This window comes from Homo sapiens, chromosome 10 (assembly GCF_000001405.40).
Source record: "Homo sapiens chromosome 10, GRCh38.p14 Primary Assembly".
Lineage (NCBI taxonomy): Eukaryota > Metazoa > Chordata > Mammalia > Primates > Hominidae > Homo > Homo sapiens.
In genome coordinates this window covers 49,434,105-49,459,498 of record NC_000010.11, presented here as the reverse complement: position 1 = coordinate 49,459,498, position 25,394 = coordinate 49,434,105, and the positions used below count along the sequence as shown (strand labels likewise).

At 39.0% G+C, this 25,394-nt stretch overlaps 1 protein-coding gene and 1 pseudogene across 2 annotated transcripts in view; one reads left to right on the top strand and one right to left on the bottom strand.

Moving 5' to 3' along the window:
- Positions 1-24,618, top strand: part of ERCC6 (ERCC excision repair 6, chromatin remodeling factor) — a 104,658-nt gene extending 80,040 nt beyond the window's left edge. Inside the window, exon 21 of one of the 2 annotated variants that reach the window (NM_001346440.2) lies at positions 265-24,618. In NM_001346440.2, the coding sequence (NP_001333369.1) occupies positions 265-684 (420 nt within the window). In that variant the 3' untranslated portion in view covers positions 685-24,618. The remainder of the gene's footprint in view (positions 1-264) is intronic. The other variant, NM_000124.4, reaches the window with a different exon arrangement.
- On the bottom strand, positions 18,543-18,683 carry HSPD1P17 (heat shock protein family D (Hsp60) member 1 pseudogene 17; annotated as a pseudogene).
- Positions 24,619-25,394: the final 776 nt, after the last annotated feature.

The following is a 25,394-nucleotide window of genomic DNA, read 5'->3' as shown; positions in this document are numbered from 1 at the left end:
CCATGTTGAGTGGTGGTGACTAAGGGAATGGCTTGGTTGCCCCCTCTTTATTTTTTTTTAGGAAACGGTCTCTTAACAGTGGGAGGATTTAGATACCAGACCCTCCTCCTTTCCCTTTTCATTAGGTGGAGTCTCAGTCTCACCCTGTCAACCTCACCACCCTGGCACATGTGTTGTCTTGTGACCCTTCACAGCCTTTGGGGAAGGAAGTGGGGGCATAAACTAGAAATTAAATATATCAGTATAGTGGTCTTCTTTTTATAGGATGGCATCATGAAAAAGGAGGGAAAAGATAATGTCCCTGAGCATTTTAGTGGAAGAGCAGAAGATGCAGACTCTTCATCCGGGCCCCTCGCTTCCTCCTCACTCTTGGCTAAAATGAGAGCTAGAAACCACCTGATTCTGCCAGAGCGTTTAGAAAGTGAAAGCGGGCACCTGCAGGAAGCTTCTGCCCTGCTGCCCACCACAGAACACGATGACCTTCTGGTGGAGATGAGAAACTTCATCGCTTTCCAGGCCCACACTGATGGCCAGGCCAGCACCAGGGAGATACTGCAGGAGTTTGAATCCAAGTTATCTGCATCACAGTCTTGTGTCTTCCGAGAACTATTGAGAAATCTGTGCACTTTCCATAGAACTTCTGGTGGTGAAGGAATTTGGAAACTCAAGCCAGAATACTGCTAAACAACATTGCTTCCTAAACTTTCAAGTCCCTTTTTCTAACGGGCATTTCTGATTATTAATTTATTATTAATAATCATGTTTGTCAATGGAAGTTGGCTGCACTTGATGTTTGTTTGCATGATGTCTACCTCAGAATTAAAACTTTAAGGAAGAAGAAACTCTTCTCTGAAAGTTAAAAGTTTTAATAATGCTAGCTAAAGGAGAAAATACTTGGATTGATTTTTTTTTTTTTGGCAATCTAATTATATTGTAAATCAGGTACCTAACAGTTACTCCTTGGAGCACATTTGTTCCTTTACCCAAAAGATGCTGTCAGGGAGCACAGTTAGAAGTTTGCAGAACAGAAATCTCAATATTTTTTTTTATTGGTGCTAAAAACAGGTCTTACATTCAGTCAGACCTGTTCAATAAGTTCATCAATATCTGATAACAGCATTATTTTGATGCTTAAACTTTAAACATTTATATTTACCATTTGCCACCCACAAAGGTCAGGTTTGTTATTTGTTGTTTGATAATTATATTAATTTTCTTGGAAAGATCCTCTTTTCAAGGTACTGGTAAATTGGTGAGTATTTTTATTAGTAAAGCATGAAATAGTATGGTAATAAATGATAAGACATGTATTTGTGGAAAGCTGTAGGGTATTCAGTTTACCCTGGCTTTCCTTTAAGCAGAGGGCATCTTTTTCTCTCCTACAGTCACAAAATGTGTTATCATTAAAAAAAATCAAATTAAAGCCAAAAGTAGGTACATAAAAACCACACACATGCATGCACACAAACATCACTGCAGCCCACAGCAGACCCAGCCGTTGTTACCATGAAGTGACACCACTCCAGGCCTCTCTTGTCTGCAGGCTGGCAGGCTGTCTTCTCTCCAGTTGCCTTCGTCTTGCGCCTGCCTTTGCATTCCTTGCGACGGGCTTTCTTGTTTCTGCGGTTTGGATTCCAGCCAAGGCTGTTTGTATCTCACTACTGTTTATGTGTTTGTGGTTCTGTGATGGTGTTGCTTTGATCCTCAGTTTATTTTCTTACCCATGTTTTTCTTGTTTCCTTCTCAGGATGATTTTATCATCTCATCTTTGAAGTGTTGTTTTCCGAAATTCATCGTATTCCTGAAATTTCTTCTTAGCTGTCTTAGTGCAGTTTGTTTCTTGGATTTGTATTCTCTGGCATGCTCTTTTCCTCTCTCTCATTTTTCTGTAGTATGCCTGCCCTCCTACCCTGCTATTTCTTTACATCTCTCTCATGCTTAACATGGATAGCTGTGTCCAGATCTTCTGTCTGCTCATCCATGTGACTCAGAGAGGAGGGTTCTGGGCAGGGGGGCCTTGCCGGACTGCATGAGAGGACATGAGTTTTGCTTTCTCTGCTCTAATATTTTGCTTAAGCCAAGAATCCTTTTCTTAGAGATGTTCTATATGATTCCTGTCAGGATTTTCTAGTTTTTTTTGGATTATAGCTTGTTCATTTCTTTTGTTTTTAGTTTGGTTTATATATAATGAGGGAAGAAGATGATTACATTATTTTTGTCACTTTGCCATCATTGTTTAGAAGTCATAGAAAGAATTTTTAAATAGGCCAATAAGTCTTAAACTTGAGTACTTGGCTTAGAAGAAAGTCAAAACTCCTTCCTTTTTGACTAAGTGGTTTGTTTCTGGGGAGCTCTTAATTTCTATTTTTATAATCATTAGCCTATAAGGAAATTGTGTCTTCCTTGTTCTCAGGGTGATCTGCTGACCTTGTTCACTCATGAAGCATTTGGGTATCATACTTATAGTGTCTGAAACATAAACTGTATTGAGCTAGACAAGGTATAGCCTCCTCTTCAAGTAGCAAATACTATCAAAAGCTATAATGCAGTAGGAGCAAGGTGGTCCTTGTTCCAGTTTTTGTCTCAGTTCTGCTGCTGATGTACCATGATCTTGGGAAGGTGGTGTCTCAGTGTGGAGATCTGACACATTGTTACCGTGCCTCCTGGCTGGAGGGACTTGGAGAACAATGCAGTTAAGTAGAATGGTTTTAACAATACAGAGAAATTTATTCATTTAGATAAAAATCTGATTTTTAGAACTTTAAAAGCTTTGTACAGTGTAAATAGATTTAATGTATTTAACATGCTTTATCAGCACAAATAAAGGATTTTAAAATTTTGTCAAAAAATTAAATGTTAATACTATCACCATTAAAAATGTTCAAGCAATAGTCTGCCTCCCCACCCCCACACCATCTTGCACCTGTTCCACAGCTAAGTACAGCCCTAGGTTTGGTGTGTATTCTCCATGCATTTAGAGAATCACATGACACAGACTGCTGCTATAATGTCATTTTCCCATTCTTCCTTTACTAATAAAATTTTTGAGTTTTACCTGGACGTCTGGCTGCTCAGCTTAAGACTACTTCTCAGCCTCTCTTATAGTTAATTGTGGCCATATGACTAAGTTTTAAACTTCCCAATTGGCCCTTTAAAGAAGCAGGGTATGCACTCTCCTTGACATTCCCCTTTCTTGCTGGCTGGGAGGCCAATGGGAGCTTCAGTAGTGACCTGGCATCTCAAGAGATGGAAGTGATGTGTTGAGGAAGGAGAAGTTGGCCTGCCAGTCTTGAACTGCTCTCCTTTGACCTGTTATTTAAGAGTAAAATAAAATACTGACTTGCTTAAGCTACTGTCTTTTGAAGTCTATTATAGCAATTAGTTTGCTTTAAATATGTAATTTATATTAATGGCCTTATACCATCCTTATTTTGCAACTAACTTTTCATTTAATATTATATGCAAGACATTTCTATTCCTGTAAGTATAGCTCTGCCTGCACAGAATTGTTGGATTAATGATGTAGATTTTAAATGTCAGTGGATGTAGCAGAATTGCTTGCATCAATTCACCCTCCATAAAAGGACCCATTTCTCCAAACCCTTGCCAACAGTAAGTGGTATCAATATCGATAGGTTGTTTTGTTTTGTTTTAACCAGTCTCGTGATTGAAAGTACCTTGTTTTCACTTGAATTTCCCTGATTACGTACAAAATCAAACATTTCCATGTTTATTGGCCATTTGTAGATCTCTACCGTACATTGCCTATTAGTGTTATGTTGGCCTAGTTTTCCTGTGGGTTGTTTATCTTTTAGGATTGCTCCCCTAAACAAAAACAAAAAGGCAGTTATTCCAATGATCAACAAATATTCTTTTCTCCACCAGTTTAAAATGTCAGCTTTCAACTCATCACATGCTAAGTTGTCTATTTCTGTCCTGTGGATCCAGGTGTTGGTTCTACCAACCACACTCCTCACGCTGTCATTTGGTGCTTTGCATTGTGTTTTGCCATTCATGGGCAAGTTCCTTTTCCTTTCTCCCCCTCTTCAGTGTCTTATACTTGGGTGTTTTCTGTTCCAGCTGAATCAAGAATTAGTTTATTAAATTCCAGTAAAATTGTGGTGTTCTTTTGACTAGGATTGCATTTGTTTACACATTAATTTGAGAATAATAGACCTCTTTATAATTAATATAATGTTTCTGATTAGTGTTATGATAGGCCTCATTTTATTAAAGTCTTTTATATTCTTGGATGAAATTTTAATAACTTTCTTCATAAATGTCTTGCACATTTCATAATAGGCTTATTCCTAGGTGTTTTATAGATTTTTAGTTTTGGTTGTGAGTCTTTTAACTTACATAAAAATATGGAGAATTAGCATATTCACATATCTATTTTGTGATGTTTATCATACGGAAGTTTTAAAATATAGTAAATTCAGTCTTTCCATTTTTTTTTGTTTATTTAAGAACCATTCCCTAGCTAGGGTCATGAATACATTCTTATGAATTATTAATCCCATATGGATAGCTAGTTTCCCTAGCACCTTTAAAAAATAGTTTATTATTTTCCTCCTGATGTATAAGGCCACCTTTACCAATTTACATATAATGTACGGAAATGTTTCTTGGCTCTGCATTCTGTTAAATTGGTCCATTTATCTAACTTTGCTTAGTAACCCACTGTTTTTATCATTGTGGTATCATAATTGATTATCACAAATGGTAGAATGATTGTCCTCAAAGTCTTTTCTGGTATATATTGATATAATTGTATAGCTTTTCTTGGTGTAGTAAAGTACACAGTTAAATTTTCTAACATTGAAATATCTTTTAGATTTTCACTTCCAGAATGGCAATGTGAAGGGCCCTGTGGACCCACTGTCCTAGGAATTAGCTATAACTAGTGAAAATTGTAACAAAAAATAAACACCTTCCTCTCATACAGAGAGACACAAACACTTAATGCCACTGGAAATTGTCCTAAAAGCATGTAGAATAAAGTAACGCTTATTCAAGAAAATCCAAATCTTGGTAAGAACAGTGAGTCAGACATTTCAGCCACAACACACTCACTCCCTCCCTCCCATTTCAGTGGGTGCAGCCAAGAAAACAGAGCTCCGTCTCCCTCAGCTCCCTGTCCAGAGGTATGGTACCTCACAGGGAGGGGCAAGATGCCAGCATTTCTTATCCCCTCCAGCTTCAAGTGGCAAGAGCTAAATTCATGAAGTTAAAAACTATAATAAGGAAAAAATGCACTAAAGGGGTTCAATAGTAGATTTGAACTGGCAGAAGAAATTGTCAGCCAACTGGCAGATAGAATAAGAGAGATATGCTTTCCAAAGAACAGAGAGAAAAAAAATGAAAAATGAGCAAAACCTCAGAGAAATGTGAAGCACCATTATGTGCACCATTAAGTATGCATGTAATGGGAGTACAAGAAGAGCAGAAGAAAAAGGAAATATTTAAAGATACAATGACTGAAAACTCTCCAAATTGATTGAAAAACATCTAGGAAGCTTAGTGAACTTCCAGCATGATAAATGCAGAGGGATTCACAGACACATCATAGTCAAAAATGCTGAAATCAAAGATGAGAAAACCTTGAAAGTAGTGAGTGAAAAAAAGATACATCACTTAGAGAACAAAATTAATACTTGACTTCTCAAAAGAAATAATGGAGGCCAGAAGGCAGGTATAACAGTCAAAGTGCTTGAAGAAAAAAAAACTGTCAACCAAGAATCCTATATCCAGCAAATGTATTATTCAAAAATATAAGTGAAATACTTTCCCAGATAAACAAAAACAGAAAAATTGTTGTTAACCAACCTGCCTAATAAGAAGTATTAAATGAAGTTCTTTAGGCTGAAAGCAAGAGAAGAGCACCAGTAAAAGCAATTATATAATTATAAAAGTCACATAAATGCATATTTTTCTCCTCTTAACTGATTAAAATGCAACTGTATCAAATAATACGTATATGATGTATTGGTCTATAACATACAGAAATGTCATATATGTAACATTTGTCAAAACAGCACAAAGGAGGTGGCTGGGAGCAAAGCTGTAGTAGACTAATTAAATGATGGCAGATGGTAAAGTAATAATTATAACAATGTGTTGGATTTGTAACATTAATAGATACCATATGTATACCTAAAATATCACAAAAAGGGGGAAAGGGAATATAGCTATATAAGAGTAAAGCTTCTATATATTATTGGAGTTAAGCTTGTGTAATTCTAACAGATTCTGATAAGATGTATATGGTAAACACTAGAGCAACCACTAATAAAATAACTCCAGAAATATAGTTGAAAAATCATTAATCAAATTAAAATACTACCTTAGAAAATACTCGATGCAAAAGGCAATATTAAAAGAGAATGAAAAGAACACAATGGATACTAGAAAACAAAAAGTAATGTGTATTCAACTTATCAATAATAAATGTTAATGAATTTAATCAGGCAGAGACTATCAGATTGGATTAAAAATACATTCCAACTCTATGTTATCTATGCTCCCATAGATAACACACTTTAGGCTCAAAGACACAGATAGATTAAAAGGATACAAAAAGAAATAGTGCAAACAATTGCCATAAGAAAGCTGGACTGGCTATACTAGTGTCAGACAAAGTAGACTTTAAGACAAAAATGCTCCTAGAGATAGAGACATTTTATAATGATAAAAAGGTTAACCCATCAAAAAGATATAACAGTTGTAAACATATGTATGAACTTAACAGTATCAAAACACAGAAAGCAAAAACTGACAGAAATGGAAGAAGAAAATGGTCACAATAATAATTGGAGACTCCATAACCTATTTTCAGTAATGGACAAAACTAGACACAAGGTTAACAATGAAATAGAAAACTTGACCAACGCTGTAAACCAACTAGCCCTAACAGACATCTATAGAACACTTCACCCAAGCGCTACAGCATATACATTATCAAATGCTCATAGAACATTCTTCAGGATAGGCCTTATGCTAGACCATGAAACTTCAATACGTTTAAAAGGATAGAAATAATGCAAAGTGCATTTTGTGAACATAATCACAGGATTAAATTAGAAATAAAAAATGGGAACATTTGAAGAACTCACAATTAGGAAATTGAACAACACACTACTAAATGACCAATAGACCAAAGAAGAAAACAAGAAGGTAATCAGCACTTTGAGGCTAATGAAAATTAAGACACAAGTAAACTGTACGGATGCAGCTAAAAAAGTGCTTAGAGGAAATTTATAGGTGTAAATGCCTGTATTAAGGAAGAAATAAAGCAATAACCTTTCTTCCACCTTAAGTCACTGAAGAAAGAAGAACAAACTAAACCTAAAGCAAGCAGAAGGAAGGAAATAATAAAATTAGAGTAGAAATTAATGAAAGAATAGAAAAACAATAGAGAAAATATTACTAGAAACTGGTAATTTGAAAAGATCAATAAATATGACAAATATTTCACTAGGTTGACCAATAAAAAGGCAATACTCAAATTACTAGGATCTGATATGAAAGAGTAGACACTACTACCAACCTTACAGAAATGGGCAATCTGAATAGACCTATAACTAGTGAACAGATTAAACCAGGAATCAGAAAATTGCCCACAAAGAATAGTCCAGGCACAGACAGTTTTACCACTGTGTTCTACCAAACAATCAAATAAATTATAGCAATTATTCTCAAACTCTTTCAAGAAATAGGAGGGAGTACTTCCCAGTATTGCCCTGATAACAAAACTGCTCAAAGATATTACAAGAAAACTGCAGACCAATATGTCTTATGAAATACCTGCAAAAATCCTCAACTAAATGCTGCAAACCAAATCCAGCAACATATAAAAATAATTATGCACCATCACCAAGTAGGATTTATCCCAGGGATATAAGATTGGCTTAACATGTGAAAATCAATGTAATACATTATATCAATATAATAAAAAAGTCATCTCTACTGATGCAAAAATAGCTGCATTTGAATAAATCCAACACCCTTTCATCATAAAAATGTTTGAAAAACGAGGAACGGAAGGAAACTACCTTAACCTGATAAAGAACATCTATGAAAAATCTACAGCTTTCTTTATACTTAATGGTGAAAAACTGAATGCTTTCCCACTGAGATTAGAAATAAGACAAGGATGCCCATTATCACACTTCTATTTAACATTGTACTGGAGGGTCTAAGCCATTGCAATTATGCAAGAAGAAAATAAAGGTTGGAAAGGAAGAAGAAAGACTGTTCACAAATGACATGATCTTGTATGTAGAAGATTCTAGGGAATCCACCAAAAAAAAAAAAAAAAACTATTGAAACTAATAAGTGAGTTCAGCAAGATGGGAGGATACAACATCAGTATTTAAAAATCAGTTGGGCCGGGCATGGTGGCTCACGCCTGTAATCCCAGCACTTTGGGAGGCCGAGGCAGGTGGATCATGAGGTCAGGAGATCAAGACCATCCTGGCTAACACGGTGAAACCCTGTCTCCACTAAAAATACAAAAAATTAGCCAGGCGTGGTGGCGGGTGCCTGTAGTCCCAGCTACTTGGGAGGCTGAGGCAGGAGAATGGCATGAACCTGGGAGGCGGAGCTTGCAGTGAGCCAAGATTGTGCCACCGCACTCCAGCCTGGGTGACAAAGCGAGACTCCATCTCAAAAAAAAAAAAATCGTATTTCTACACACTTGCAATGAATAATCAAAAATGAAATTAAGAATATTCATAATAGCATCAAAAAGAATAAGGTGCTTAATAACATATTTAACAAAAAGTGCAAAACTTACACTCTGAAAACTACAAAACATTGCAGAAAGTAATTAAAGAAGACCTAAATAAATGGAAAAACATGCCATGTTCATGGATCAGAAGAGTTAATGCTGTTAAGATGACAATATTCCTCAAACTTGTCTGCAGATTCAGCATAATCCCTGTCAGAATCTCTGCTGACATCTTTGCAGAAATTGACAAGCTGATGCTAAGAGTTATATGAAATTTCAAGGGACCCAGAATAGCCAAAGAAATCCTGAAAAAGAATAAAGTAGAAAAACCCACATTTCTTCATTTTGAATTACAAAACAATAGTAATTAAGAAGTGTGTTACTGGCACAAGGGTAGACATAGATCATTGTATTTTTTTAAAAAATGGTGATTCCAGAAATAAATGCAAACATCTGTAGTCAACTGATTTTCAGTAAAGGTGCCAAGTCCATTCAGTGGGGAAAGAACAGTCTTTTCAACAAATGGTGCTGGGACAAGTGGATAGTCACGTGCAAAAGAATGAAGTTGGACACTTACCTTACATTATATTTAAAAAGTTGGCTGGGTATGACGGCCCATGCCTGTAGTCTTAGCACTTTGGGAGGCAAAGGGGCAGATTGCTTGAGTCCAGGAGTTTCAGACCAGCCTGGGCAACATGGCAAAGTCATGTCTCTACAGAAAAAACAAGTTAGCTGGTCATGGTCATGTGCATCTGTAGTCCCAGCTACTCAGGAGGCTATGGTGAGAGGATCACTTGAGCCCAGGAGGTCAAGGTTGTAGTGATCCATGAGCATGCCACTGTACTCCAGCCTGGGTGACAGAGCAAGACCCTATCTCAAAAAAAAGAAAAAAGAAAACAAGTTAAAATAGATGAAAGAGGCCAGGCGCGGTGGCTCACGCCTGTAATCCTAACACTTTGGGAGGCTGAGGTGGGCAGATCATAAGGTCAGGAGTTTGAGAGCAGCCTGGTCAATATGGTGAAACCCTGTCTCTACTAAAAATACAAAAATTAGCTGGGCGTGGTGGCGTGCACCTGTAGTCCCAGCTACTTGGGAGGCTGAGGCAGAAGGATCACTTGAACCCAGGAGCCGAGATTGTGCCACTGCGTTCCAGCCTGGGTGACAGAGTGAGACTCTGTCTCAAAAAAAAAAAAAAAAAAAAAAAAAAGACCTAACTATCAAAGCAAAACCTATAAAACTCTTAGAAGAAAATGGGTAAATCTTCATGAACTTGGGCTTGGCAAGCATTCTAAGATATGACATTAAAAACACAAGCAGCAAAAGAAGAGAATTTGGACTTCATTGAAATTTAAAGCTTTTGTGCTTTGAAGGATACCATCAAGAAAGGGAAAAGACAACCTACAGAATTGGAGAAAATATTTGTGAATCATATCTAATAAAGACTCAGAAATAACTTTAAAAATGGACAAAGGATCTGATTAGACATTTTCCCAAATATATAAAAATGGCCAATAAGCACATGAAAAGATGCTTGACATCATTAGTCATCAGGGAAATGCAAAGCAAAACCACAATGAGATATCACTTCACACCCACTAAGTTGGCTAAAATAAAAAAGATAGTAACAAGTGTTGACAAGAGATTGTAGAGAGATTGGAAGCCACAGATACTGCTGGTGAGAATGTAAAATGGTGCAGCCACTTTAGAAAACAGTTGCAATTTCTCAAATGATTAAACACAGAGCTAGCCTATGACCTAGAAATTCCTCTCCTAGGTATATAACCAAGTGAAATGAAGACTTATGTCCACACAGAAACTTGTAAATGAATCTCTAGCAGCATTGTTCGTAATAGCCAAAAAGTGGAAACAGCTCAAATATACATCAATAGGTGAATGGATTTTAAAATGCAGTATATCTATACAATGGAATATTATTCAGCCCCAAAAAGCAATGAAGGACGGATACACTGATACATGCTATAACACTGATGAACCTCTAAAATTTCCTGCTAAGTGAAAAAGTCATGAAAGACCACATGCTATGATCCCATCCATATAAAAGTCCAGAATAGGGAAATCTATAGAAACAGGAAGTAGGTTAGTGGTTGCTTAAAGAAAGAGTGGTAAGTAGGTTGCTTAAAGGGTCATAAGTGGGGACAATAGTTAAAAAGTTGGGGGTTTGGAGGTGATTTTTAGGTTTTCAGATGATGAAAATGTAAAATTGAGGTGGTGATGGTTGCATGTATCTTTGAGTATACTAAAAGCTACTGAATTGTACTACTGAAATAAATGAGTTATATGGTATATGAATTATATCTCAGTACAGTTGTTAATAAATAATTAACATAAGGTGCAAGATAAATTGGGAGCTTAACAAAAAGACAACCCAATTAAAAATGCTTGAAGAATCTGAATAGACATTTCCCAAAGAAGATATACAAATGGCCAAAAAGCACATGAAAAGATGCTTGACATCATTAGTCTTTAGGGAAAGGCAAGTCAAAACTGTGATGAGGTACCACTTCACAGTCACTAGCATGACTATAATAATTTTTTTAAAACTCAATAACAAATGTTGACAAGGACATGGATAAGCAAACCTTTATACATTGCTGGTGAGAATGTAAAATGGTGCAACCACTGTGAAAAATAGTTTGGTGTTTCCTCAAAAAGTTAAACATACAATTACCATATGATCCAACAATTATACTTTGTGGAATATTCCACAAACTGAAAACTGGTGCTCAAACAAATACTTGTATGTGAATATTCATAGTAGCACTATTCACAATGGTCAAAATGTGGACACAGTTGAAGCGTCCATTGACAGATGAATAGATAAACAAAATGTGGTCTATCTACACAGTGGAATATTACTCAGCCACAAAAGGGATGAAGTACTGATGCAACAAGGATGACACAGAAGATAACATATATTGTATGATACCATTTATATAAAATACACAGAACAGGGAATTCTATAGACAGAAAGCAGATGAATGGTTGTGAGAGGCTGGGGTGGGGAGGGGGATGGGGAGTGATTTCTTTCTTTCTTTTTTTTTTTTTGAGACAGTCTTGCTCTGCTGCCCAGGCTGGAGTGCAGTGGCACGATCTTGGCTCACTGCAAGCTCCACCTCCCAGGTTCACGCCATTCTCCTGCCTCGGCCTCCTGCCTCAGCCTCCCAAGTAGCTGGGACTACAGGTGCCCGCCACTATGCCCGGCTAATTTTTTTTGTATTTTTTTAGTAGAGATGGGGTTTCACCATATTAACCAGGATGGTCTCGATCTCCTGACCTTGTGATCTGCCCGCCTCGGCCTCCCAAAGTGCTGGGATTACAGGCGTGAGCCACCACGCCCAGCTGGGGAGTGATTTCTTAATGGGTATAGGGTTCTTTTATGGGGTGATGAAAGTGCTTTGGAACCAGATGGAAGTGGTGATCGCACAACATTGTGAATGTACTAAAGGCTGCTGATTTGTACACTTTAAAAAATATCTTCAGGTGTTCAATATTGCTTTCAGTCTATTTTGGTAAGATTTTTCTAGAAAATTGTTTATTTTGTCTGTTTTAAAAGTTGTTCCTTTGTGGATATCATCTGTTTGTCATTGGTGTTCTGCAGTTTCATTATGATTTATGTGTCTTTTTTCCACATAAATTTTTCAAAGTTATTCCTTTGTGGTTATCATCTGTTTGTCATTGGTGTTCTGCAGTTTCACTCTGATTTATGGGTGTTTTTCCCCTTCTGGTTCAGTCCTCAGAGATATGTGGATTTATTTTTATCCTGTATGGAGCCTGTGCTTCCTGAATTTAAGGATTCATGTCCTTCAACAGTTCTGGAAGACTGTAGCCATTATTTCTTTGAATACTGCCTCTCCTCATTTGCTTTCACCCTTCTGGAACTTTTTATTTCTAACTTTCTGGTTAAGCTATCCATTGAATTTTTATTATTATTTTTTGAGACATAGTTTCACTTTTGCCCAGGTTGAAGTGCAGTGGCACGATCATAGCTCAGATCATAGCTCACTGCAAACTTTTGACCATAGCTCACTGCAACCTCGAACTCTTGGGCTCAAGTGATCCTCCCGCCTCAGCCTCCCAAGAGGCTGGGGCTACAGGCAGATGCCACCACACCTGGCTGAAGTTTGAAAATTTTTTCAGAGAGACAGAGTCTCGCTGTGTCACCCAGGCCAGTCTTGAACTCTTGGCTCAAGTGATCCTCCTGCTTTGGCCTCCCAAAGCACTGGGATTACATGTATGAGGCACTGTGCCCAGCCTGAATTTTTAATTTTATAATCATAATGTTTATTTCTAAAATTGTTTCTTCCTCCCCTCTAAGCTTCCCAATTTTGTCTTACAATGCTTTTTTCTTATTTTTTCTTCTTGTGGCTATAATAATTTTAAACACCACTGTTTCATAGACTCCATCAGATTACTGCACTGGCTGGAGGTCTTGCTGTTGATCCTGCTCTTTGTGGTGTCTGCTGGCTCTCCCTCACAGTAAATTGGGGGGTGTGTGTGTGTGTGTGTGTGTGTGTGTGTGACGTTTTTGTGTGTAAAGATGGGTGAGTCATCTTCAAAGGGGCTTTCTCACCAGCATGGTTTTTGTATGTGCTTGCATCTGATGGTTATTATCAGCCTGGGACCAATTTTTTCTGTTAATTTCTTAACTTTCAATATTTTGGATCTTGTGGTAATGTAAGTTTGGACTTCAAACTCATGTGAACTTATAGTTATGAATTGTCTGAGTGTAGAGGTGGGGTGAGATATGAGGGAGGATAAGTCCCCCACTAAGAATCCAGCTCAAACAGCAAAGCTTCTCTGTAGCGGGAGGTAGATTCTATTAATATTCTAGCCCACTGTTTTTCTGAGGCCATACCTGTATGAGGGGGTCTCAGTTCTGATTCTTTTTCTAAAGCAAGCCCATATTTTTGTCTGCTACCCATGCCTTGGTGTTAAATCCAAACTTCTGTATTTCAGGAACAGCACTTTTCAGGGAATATGGACCACTCTATTTATAGTTTCTTTCTCGTTTGTAGCCCCTGGCACTTGACTTTGCTAAGATCTCAGCTATGTCGTTAAACGGATTTTTGTCACATTATATTTAACATTATAAATAACATTTCTTGTTTAGAAGGCCTTTTGGGTAATCTTATCTGTTACATTGCTGAAACCATTACATTTTTTAATTTGTCATGTTGGTCTAAAGAGCTTAGAATAGTGCCTGGCACAAAAATAAGAGCTGTGTGTGTTAGCAGTTTCATTTTTATGTTACTTTTCTTATTTTTATTACTGCTGGATTATCTTTATAGTTCTAAAGCTTCAGCAACTGGTTCTCATATTTTCTAGATATACCAAAGATCATCTACAAATAACGACATGATTGCCTCTTTCTTTTCAGTATTTATAAACCTTATTCTTTTCTTACTGTGCTACCATCTTCCTCTAGCCCCGCATTTGCCAGGAATGGTGATGGGAGTGGTCATCTGTGTCTTTTTCCTAACTTAAATGAGGAATGCTTTGCATGTGTGAAGCATATGTGCTCTAAATTTCTGGTTGACACCTTTTAATGAGTTAAGAACCCTTTTCCTGTTCCTAGCTTACAAATAGTTTTCATTAGAAACAAATTATGAATTTTTTAGTTGCATTTTCTACATTTACTGAAATGACAATACTTCTTTAATCTACTAGGTTTCTGAATTGGATTAGTATAGTATATTTAGTGTTTTTTTGTTGTTGTTTTTTTTAAATCAACTCATCATTCCTAGAATATTCCTAATCCTGGGATGAAGGTGGGGAACCCCTATTTGGTCATGATATATTTCGCTTTTAATATACTGCTGGTTTCAATTGGCTAATACTTTATTAGATTTTTAACCTCTCAGATCATAAGGGAAATTGCTGTATAGTTATTTTTTCTTTACTTTTTGCTGTGCTGTGTGTGTGTGCATGCATGCATGTGTGAAAGTTGTTCTTGTCTTGGAAAATAAATTGGGAAATACTCCACCTTTTTATGTTCTCAGAAGAGTTCCTGTAACATAGGAATTACATGCACATTTCATAGACTACTTGTAAAACTGGGCTTTTGTACATTTTGGAAGAATGTTTCAGCTCAATCCTCGTACTCACTCAATTGCTTTTCAATAGTGTCCATTCTGATATTCTGCCCATGCCCCGATGTTTTTCTTTTAATTTCACAATCGACTGTTCTCTCCTAGGATTTGCCCTTGGTCCTTCTTTCGTAATGCTCTGTCCTGTGTCATGGATGCACTGGGCTCTCCTAAAATATAGGATATATCCTCCCCATCTCCTTTTGCCTCCTCCAGTGCTGCAGTTGGTTGAGTTTTGTGGTGTTGGTTTTCTTCAGATCTTGGGTGGTCTTAGCTATGTTTGATATATTTGAGACCCCCTGTTTGCCTGTCCTGTTGATCCTGTGGATCCTACACTGCCTCCAGCGCTGTGGAGAGAGCTGGGTTGGGCTGCTGAGGAGGGTGTCCAGGAGCGAGTCTCAGTAGGGTGAAGGCTCCCATTTCTCCTGGTGAATTCCAGCCCTGAGGGCATGGCAAGGCCTCTTTGTCGAAGTGTCCACAGAAATGTCTGGGGCAGGGGTAGACAAAGGTCTCTGCATGGCAAGGGCAGGGGAAGGAGGACCTAATCCTTGGCTGATCCTAATGCAGTGACCCTGTGGGCCCAGCACACCTCTCCTTGCCAGCACTCCCACCTTGGCAGCCGCCACCTGCCCCATCTGAGTATGCTTTCCTTCTTATCCTATGTGGTTTTTGATTCACAGTGGCCTTCCTTTTCCTGTCGTCAACCACTTATGAATGTATATACAGACAGGTGTCACTTAATGACAGGGATATGAGGACACGTTCTGAGCAGCATGTCATAGGCACTTTTATCATTGTGCTAGCCTCATAGAGTGACTTATCCAAACCTCAGTGGTACAGCTACTACACACCTAGGCTATATGGCTACAAACCTGTACAGCATGTGACTGTACTGATTGCTGTAGGCAGTTGTAACATAATGGTATTTGTGTATCTGAACATATCTAAACACAGAAAAGGTGCAGAAAAAATATGGTATAAAAGATAGCAAATGGTACACCCCTATAGGACACTTCTGACTGGAGCTTGGAGGACTGGAAGTTGCTCTGGGTTTGTCAGTGAGTGTAAGTGAATGTGAAGGCCTAAGACATTACTGTACACTTTTATACAACTGGCAGTGCAGTAGGGTTGTTTACAACAGCATCAAGATAAACACATAATATATTGCACTGCAATGTTCTGAGGGCTGTGATGTACTAGGTGGTAAGAATTTTTTAGCTCTATTATAGTCTTTTGGGACCACCATTGTGTATTCCATCCATGATTGACTGAAACATCATTATGTGGTGTATGATTGTATATATCTAAATAGTATACAAGTATTTATGAGTTTTTTTGCGTGTACTTTTTTTTCTGTTGTCTTGGAATTTTGTCTTCATCTAATGACATTGATTTAACTTCCTTTAACCTCAGTTTATAAACACTTAATTTATGAAAGTAATTGTAGAACATATTTTTAAAATCTGAATCTTTACAACACAAATGGCAAAAGGTTCTTTCAGAAGTTAGAATTCAGTTTCCCATTCAATGTCTGTTCTGTTAAATCACTGGGAACGTCATTTACGCAAAGGCAGAAGAAGAGGTAACTTCCTGCCCACCAAGCCACACTAACGGTACATTTTACACCCTCATTGGCACAAGCGTCAGAAGTAAATGAAAACAAAATCACTCTATCTGCAGACAGAGTGACACTCTAACATTTTCAGTCTGTTGGGTATGTTTTAATCCTAAAATTAATGTTTGGAATAGAATTTTGAAATTGTTTTAATCTGGAGAATAAAAATTACATTTTGCTGAGCAAGTAAACTGAACTTAAAATAGAAAATATTTTTCACTAAAAATAGGAATAAAAAGATGGAAGTGAAGAATGGAAAGAAGTCTGCAGTGAGCAGCTTGAGAAGGTAATTGTTCATCTGAACAAAAGAAATTCTTGTAGTCCTATGGCCTTCCTGGTTCCATGGCCACCTGCCCCCAGCATGGTCAACCAAGCACAGTGTGATGTGCTGACAATCTCACCTTGTGTGCATTGTGGGTTTCAGATTTGGAAAAAGACTGGCATCAGCTTCCACGGAGATTACTGTATTGTTTTGTGCAGTTTCTGAATTTAAGACAGGAAAAATCTGACTAATGCATATCACCAGCATCGTGGCTGTCAAGAATTTCTATGTTGTTTCAACTTTCTGCTTCTTTGGGAGAGAGGAAGGGCAGCACCTTAGCTTTGTGCCTTGGTTTGAGGAACCGTGTTTCTCAATATTGGCCACCACCATTGATCCTTTTCTTCTTCACAGGGAATTCGGTGCCCTGTGCCTTTGCTTTCGCTTTGCAAGACAATCAAGGCCGACCTGGGCATGGGTCCCCACTCAGCGTCCCGACCCCGCACCGGGCGCTGAGGCAGAGAGCGCGAGAGGGCGGGGGTCCACCTTCTTCCTCAGTGGCAGCTCACCCGTGCGTAACTGTCGTTTGGAGGACAGTGATACAAGTTAGGAAAACCAGGCATTTGTTTAACTCTTCTGCCTGAGGAAAAGCAATGTTGGACATTTGCAGTTCTGGCGATTCAGCTTGGTTTTCCTAAAAGACAGGCCCCCACCCCTTCCCCCGGGGGCGCGGGTCTTGTTTGGATACCGGCAGCCTGGGGCCAGGGATGTGCTAGGGCAACAAAGATGGTCCTGGAGGAGGAGGCCGTTCGTTTCTGCCGCTCCCGGGAGTTTTTGGGCTCAACTCACAGGACGAAGTTTTGCTTTCAGTGGTAAAGCACACTTTCTCCCGCCTGCTTTTGTTCCTGTCTGGTTCTTGCATATGCTGCCTTTTCTCCTTTTAGTTTTTAGTTGGTCGTAAACAGTAATATAAATAAACAAACCAAAACAAAGCGCGGTGTAACTACCTGTGACACCAGGAAAACCCTGTGCACAGCGGGGCTGGCGCTGCGGGCGGACAGCGTTGGGCCCACCCGAGCTCCCTGGCTGCGAACTCTCTGCTCCCGTCCGCACCCGCTGCCACCCACAGACAGGAAATACAGCACCCCACCTGCGGAGACGCCGGCGGCTGGGGGACAGCACGCTTTGTTAAGAAATCAGAATGCAAAATGGCACACCGTGCACAACTGGGTCTACACAGGCAAGGGAAGAGGAGGAAATGTAAACAGCTGTCCCGAGTTTACTAAGAGGGCAAAGTGAGTAAATTTTTTTCATTAGTCCTGCTTTCACAACAATCGCATTTTAGAATAACTGTAACTTGTATTGAGAGGGAGGCCCCTCCTCCACTTCGTGACCACAGTGTGGAAGCTGCACTGCGGGCAGCCAGGGTTTTCCTCGGCCTCCATAGAAAGACGCTTAACTTCTTATATGGTTGTGGCAAGCACTAAAATCCTGATTTTTACAGAATAGTAGTAAAAATGCCTCAGTGACTTACTTTGAAAACAGTACATTGGTACATGGCTCTTGTACCCAGTATCAGGAATGTACAAATGTCTTTTTATTCAAAAGTACAAAATGAATTATCTGTAGGCACGGACAATGACAGCAATAAACCATTATATATTTTGTCAACTGAAACCAGTAACTGATGGTTATAGTGATTTCTTAAACATCAGCCAGCCTTTTCTTCATTTTCTCCAACTGACTTCTCTGAAATTATTAGTGAGGAACACTGCCTTGGGCTTCCTGTCACAGCTCATTAATAAAGGTAAAGCACTATTCTAGGAATTAGAACATGCCACCTCTCATACCACCTCCCATTCCACCCATTCCAGGGTTCTTCTCTTCTTTAGGAATTTCTGTGACTACAGCTTCTGCTGTAGTTAACAGAGAGGCCATGCCATCAGCATCCAATATAGTAGTGCCCACCATGCCTGCCCCATTCCTGTAACCCCCGCCTGGCTGCTCACCAGTTTCCTCTCAGAGATTTCCTCTCCCTATTTTTGAGTTAATTATTGACTTCTTTTTGAAACCTCCCTTTTAGACTTGTGCATTTTTGAAGGCAGAATTAAATGGTGCCATTCTGCCTTTTGCAATGATGACCTTGCATCTTTGGTTTAACAGTTACCAAGATATTAAGCAAAATTTGTCTCAGATCTTTTCTTTTTCCCTTAAAGACATACATGTGACAAAAAGAATTAGCCACCCCAGTTCCTTTTCATGTCCTCTCTCTGCAGAGGTAACTCTCTGATGTGGTGTGGCTGTGCCCCCACCCAAATCTCAACTTGAATTGTAGATCCCAGAATTTCCATGTGTTGTGGGAGGGACCAGGCGGAGGTAATTGAATCATGAGGGCCGGTCTTTCCCATGCTATTCTCATGGTAGTGAACAAGTCTCACGAGATCTGATGGGTTTATCAGGGGTTTCTGCTTTTGCTTCTTTCTCATTTTCTTTTGCCATCACCATGTAAGAAGTGCCTTTCACCTCCTGCCATGATTCTGAGGCCTGCCCAGCCATGTGGAACTGTAAGTCCAATTAAACCTCTTTTTCTTCCCAGTCTTGCGTATGTCTTTATTAGCAGCATGAAAATGGACTAATACAGTCAGTTGGTACCAGTAGAATGGAATGTTGCTGAAAAGATACCCAAAAATGTGGAAGTGACTTTGGAACTGGGTAATAGGCAGAGGTTAGAACAGTTTGGAAGGCTCAGAAGAGGACAGGAAAATGTGGGAAAGTTTGGAACTCCCTGGAGACTTGTTGAATGGGTTTGACCAGAAGCCTGATAGCAATATGGACAATAAGGTCCAGACTGAGGTGGTCTCAGATGGAGATGAGAAACTTGTTTTGGGAACTGGAGTGAAGGTGACTCTTGTTACGTTTTAGCAAAGATACTGGCAGCATTTTGCCCCTGCCCTAGAGATGTGTGGGACTTTGAACTTGAGAGCAATGATTTAGGGTATCTAGCGGAAGAAATTTCCAAGCAGCAAAGCATCCAAGAGATGACTTGGAGGCTGTTAAAGGCATTTAGTTTTATAAGGGAAGCAGTGCATAAAAGTTTGGAAAATTTGCAGCCTGACAATGTGATAGAAAAGAAAAACCCATTTTCTGAGGAGAAATTCAAGTCGGCTGTAGAAATTTGCATAAAGTAACGAGGAGCCAAATGTCAGTCCCCAAGAGGATGGGGGAAAATGTCTCCAGGACATGTCAGAGGTCTTCACAGCAGCTCCTCCTATCACAGGCCCGAAGGCCTAGGAGGAAAAAAGTGGTTTCATGGGCTGGGCCCAGGGTCCCCCAGCTGTGTGCAGCCTACGGACTTGGTGTCCTGCATCCCAGCTGCTCCAGCTGTGGCTGAAAGGGGCCAACATAGAGCTCAGGCCATGGCTTCAGATGGTGCAAGCCCCAAGCCTTGGCAGCTTCCACATGGTGTTGAGCCTGAGGATGCACAGAAGACAAGAATTGAGGTTTGGGAACCTCCACCTGGATTTCAGAAGATGTATGGAAATGCCTAGATGCCCAGGCAGAAGTTTGCTGCAGGGGCGGGGCACTCATGGAGAACCTTTGCTAGGGCAGTGTGGAAGGAAATGTGGAGTCAGGGCCCCCAGGCAGAGTCCCTACTGGGGCATCACTTAGTGGAGCTATAAGAAGAGGGCCACTGTCCTCCAGACCCCAGAATGGTAGATGCACCAACAGTTTGCACTGTGCACCTGGAAAAGCCGCAGACAATGGCAGCCCATGAAAGCAGCTGGGCAGGAGTCTGTACCCTGCAAAGCCACAGGGGCGGAGCTTCCCAAGACCATGGGAACCTACTTTTTACATCAGCGTGACCTAGATGTGAGACTTGGAGTCAAAGGAGATCGTTTTGGAGCTTTAAAATTTGACTGCCCTGCTGGATTTTGGATGCATGGGTCCTGAAACCCTTTTGTTTTGGCCAATTTCTCCCATTTGGAACGGCTGTATTTACCCAATACCTGTACCTCCATTCTATGTAGGAAGTAACTAGCTTGCTTTTGATTTTACAGGCTCATAGGCAGAAGGGACTTTCCTTGTCTTGGATGAGACTTTGGACTGTTGACTTTTGGGTTCATACTGAAATGAGTTAACACTTTGGGGGACTGTTGGGAAGGCATGATTGGTTTTCAAATGTGAGGACATGAGATTTGGAGGGGTTGGGGCAGAATGATATGGTTTGGCTGTGTCCCCTCCCAAATGTTGCATTGTAGCTCCCAGAATTCCCATGTGCTGTGGGAGGGACCCAGTGGGAAGTAATTGAATCATGGGGGCTGGTCTTTCCCATGCTATTCTTGTGATAGTGAATAAATTTCACGAGATCTGATGGGTTTATCAGGGGTTTCCACTTTTTCTACTTTCTCACTTTCTCTTGCCACTGCCATGTAAGAAGTGCCTTTTGCCTCCCACCATGATTCTGAGGCCTCCCCAGCCATGTAGAACTGTAAGTCCAGTTAAATCTCTTTTTCTTTCCAGTCTCTGGTTGTCTTTATCAGCAGGTTGAAAATGGACTAATATACTCCCCTTCTAAAGTTGACGTGTATTGGTCTCCAGGCATGCTTCATTCACTGACCATGCCTTCCTGGCCATCGCTGTCCCTGGGGTCCACACTGGATCTGCAGTGTGGTTGGATCTGCAGTGTGGTTGGATCTGCAACCAACTGCAGTTCAAGAATACGTTTTTAGAAAATAACAATACAATAAAATATAATACAAACAAAAAACAATACAGTATGACAACTATTTGCCTAGCATTTACATTGTATTAGGTATTGCAAGTAGTCCATAAATGGTGTAAAGTACACAGGAGGATGTGCCTATGTTATATGCACATGTGTCCTATTCTCAAATGGTTATTTAAATTTTGACTTTAACTGTAATTACTTTTTTAAAATATTTTTAAGACTATTTCCATGTTTTTCTTCCCTTTATTCACCTTGATCTCATGCTGGAGGTTTGTCTCTCTTATTAGTCTCTTCAAAAAATCAGCCTTTTATTATTTATTTGATTACTCTGTTGTTAACTTTCTAACAGACCTCAGGTGCTCAGAACCAGATAAGCCAGAATTCTTGGCAGAAGAGGCTCCCTGTCATCCTGTCATGCCTGTTTTATTTTGGTTATGCCTGTACTAGTAAGCACCCATGAACCCACTCTCCAGAATTAGAGAAAGGACACCCCAATAACTCACAGCTACCTGTCTATTCCTCTCCTCTCCTCCACCTTTCTTCCCCAGCTAGTAAACACTATTCTCAGTTTTGTACTATTTCCTTGCTTATATGTTTGTATATACCTAGAAGAACATTATTTTTAGTTGTTCTTAATGTAATAAAAAGGGATCTTGCTGTACTTAATATTCTGAGACTTTGTTTTTAAAGTCAATGTTATACTGGTGTGTTTTATCCACATTATTGCATGTAGCTGTATATATTAGTCCGTTTTCATGCTGCTGATAAAGACATACCTGAGACTGGGTAATTTATAAAGAAAAAGAAGTTTAATGGACTCACAGTTCCACATGGCTGGGGAGGCTTCATAATCATGGCGGAAGGCAAGGGAAGAACAAAGATATGTCTTATATGGCAGCAGGTGAGAGAGAATGAGAACCAAGCAAAAGGCATTTCCCCTTATAAAACCATCGGATCTCCTGAGACTTATTCACTACCACAAGAACAGCATGGGGGAAACCACCCCCCATGATTCAATCATCTCTCACCGGGTGCTTCCCACAACAGGTGGGAATTATGGGAGCTACAATTCAAGATGAAATTTGGTGGGGACACAGCCAAACCATATCACTGTACTTTTAAGTTTCACCATGGTATGATATGCCATTTTGTAAATATTCCACAATTTATCTATTCTCTCTTACCTGGTTCTAATTTCTTATTACCTATGTGATTTCTTATTGAAAGGCATTCAGTTATCTCAGGTTTTTCCATTATAAATACTGCAGCTATTAACACTTTGATATATGCCTCCCGGTACACATGAGTGAGGTTGTCTCTTGGACATAGAGCCAGGAATGGAATTGTATCCATTGTGCCAACTATTACACTTTAAGTATAAGAAATCCTGCTGATTTGTATCCTTTCCAATATGTAATGCTATCAGACTTTAATTTTTGTAGACCAAATTAGTTTAAAATCTCATTCTGACCTTTATTTGATTTTCTTTATGTCTAATGGTTTCAGACATTTCTTCATGTGTGTTTCCTTTTCAGTTCTTTTTCCTGTTCATTTTTATTGGCTTGTTTGTCCTTCTCTTATTGATTTGTAGGGGTTCTTTGTATTCTTGATTCAGATTCAGTGTAGATTATGTAAATATTATCTCCAAGTTTCTAATGTGTCTTTCTGTTTCACTAAGTTATTTGTTGATGAGCTTACTTTTTTATATATAGTCAAATTTATCAATCTTTTATTTTATTGCTAGTGTTTGCTGTGTCTTTTTTAAAAAATCTTTTCCTACTCTACATTTGGAAAGACTTTTACTTATATTTCCTAGTGAAATTTTTACTTTTGTCATTTAAGTACTTAATCCAGCTAGAATTAATTTTTAAGCATGGAGAGAGGTAGAGGTTCAATTTCATTTGTTTCCCCAAATGAATATGCTCATCATCATTTTCTTCCTTTGGTGGCTTTGGAATTTAGTCTGTTAATTCTTCAAATAATAATTTGAGTTAGATCCTTGTTTCATAGTTTTTTAGTCTTCCTTGCTTTTTTTTTTTTTCTTTCTTTCTTTTTTTTGAGACAGTCTGATTCTGTCGCCCAGGCTGGAGTACAGTGGCACGATCTCGGCTCACTGCAACCTCCTCCGGCTCCCAGGTTCAAGTGATTCTCCTGCTTCAGCCTCCTGAGTAGCTGGGATGACAGGCGCCTGCCACCATGCCCAGCTAATTTTTGTATTTTTAGTAGAGACGAGGTTTCACCATGTTGGCCAGGCTGGTCTTGAACTCCTGACCTCAAGTGATCCACCCGCCTCAGCCTCCCAAAGTGCTGAGATTACAGGTGTGAGCCATTGCACCCTGCCCTCTTCCTTGCTTTTTAATACTTGCATTTAAAGCTATAACTTTCCCTCTAAGTACTGCTTTAGGTTCATCCTATATTTTTTATATGCTATGCATTCATCATTATTTGATTCTAATTTCTAATTTTCAATATGATTTCTTCCAATTCATAAGCTATTTAAAGTGTTGAATTTTCAAATACATTTGCAGGGTTGACTGTCTTTCTGTAATTGATTTTTAGTGCTGTTTCACTGTGGTCAGAGACTGTGCTCTGCGTGGGATTGGCTATTTTGGTGTTTCTTGAGGCCACTTTTGTTGCTTAGCAACTGATCAGAATGTGCTGATTGTTGGGTGTTCTGTGACTGTTTATTAGGTCAAGTATGTAAACTGGGTTGCTTAAATTTTCTGTGTCCTTGCTAATCTTTATTTTCCCTGCTTAATCTATCAATTACTGAACGAAGGTATGTGAACTTTTCCATTATTATATGGATTTTAAAATTTCTCTTTATAAATCTATCAGTTTTTGATTTTTCTGTTTTAAGACTATATTGTTAGAAACATACAGATTCTGGATTTTAAAAATATCTTTATGGTGAATTTTCATTGTCATATATGATAGAAATTGTTCCCATGATCACATGATAACCTCTTTCACCCTAATAATGCTTTTTGTCTTGTTTATTTTGTCTAATGTAAGTATAGCTAGAACTGTTCTCTTTTGATTAATATTTGCCTAGTATGTTTTTTCATTTATCATTTTACAAATAATTTTCATCAGTATACAGATAATTTTCATCAGTATACAAACATAGTCAATGTATAACTGAGATTACTAATAAATTTGGATTTATTTCTGTCATTACATGTGTGTTGTATTTATTATCATGCTTTGTTTTCATCTTTAACTTTATTTTCCTCTCCTGTCTTCTATGAATTTTTTTTTTTTTTTTTTGAGATGGAGTTTTCCTCTTGTTGCCCAGGCTAGTTGCTCTTGTTGCCCAGGAGTGCAGTGGTGTGATCTCAGCTCACTGCAACCTCTGCCTCCTGGGTTCAAGCAGTTCTCCTGCCTCAGCCTCGCGAGTAGCTGGGATTATAGGCATCTGCCACCATGCCCAGCTAATTTTTTGTATTTTTTTAGTAGAGATGTTTTGGCCAGGCTGGTCTTGAACTCCTGACCTCAGGTGATCTACCTGACTCAGCTTACCGAAGTGTTGGGATTACAGGCGTGAGCCACCGCGCCTGGCCCTGTCTCCTATGAATTAATTGGACTTTTGTTATTCGCTTTCCCTTTTTCACTGAAGTTATACAGTTTATTCCTAGTCTTTACAAATTTAATATGCACTTTTAAAGCCAGTATTTTCATCTTCTTTCCCCAGAATAAAAGAACCACAGAACTCCGTAACTGTTATTATTGTATCTTTCCCTCAACTTGCATGTTCTATTGTCTTAATTTTAGGTCCACCCTGTTTCTAATGATCCCCATTCATCATTAGTATTGTTTCAAACAGTTTGTGGTCGCTAGGTTTAGATTTCCCTGCATGTTTATTACTTTTCCTGCTCATTGCATCTCACTCTGTCTTTGTTTCTGAATTATGTTCTTCACTAGTTCTCTCAGTGTGTTTATGTGTGTGTGTG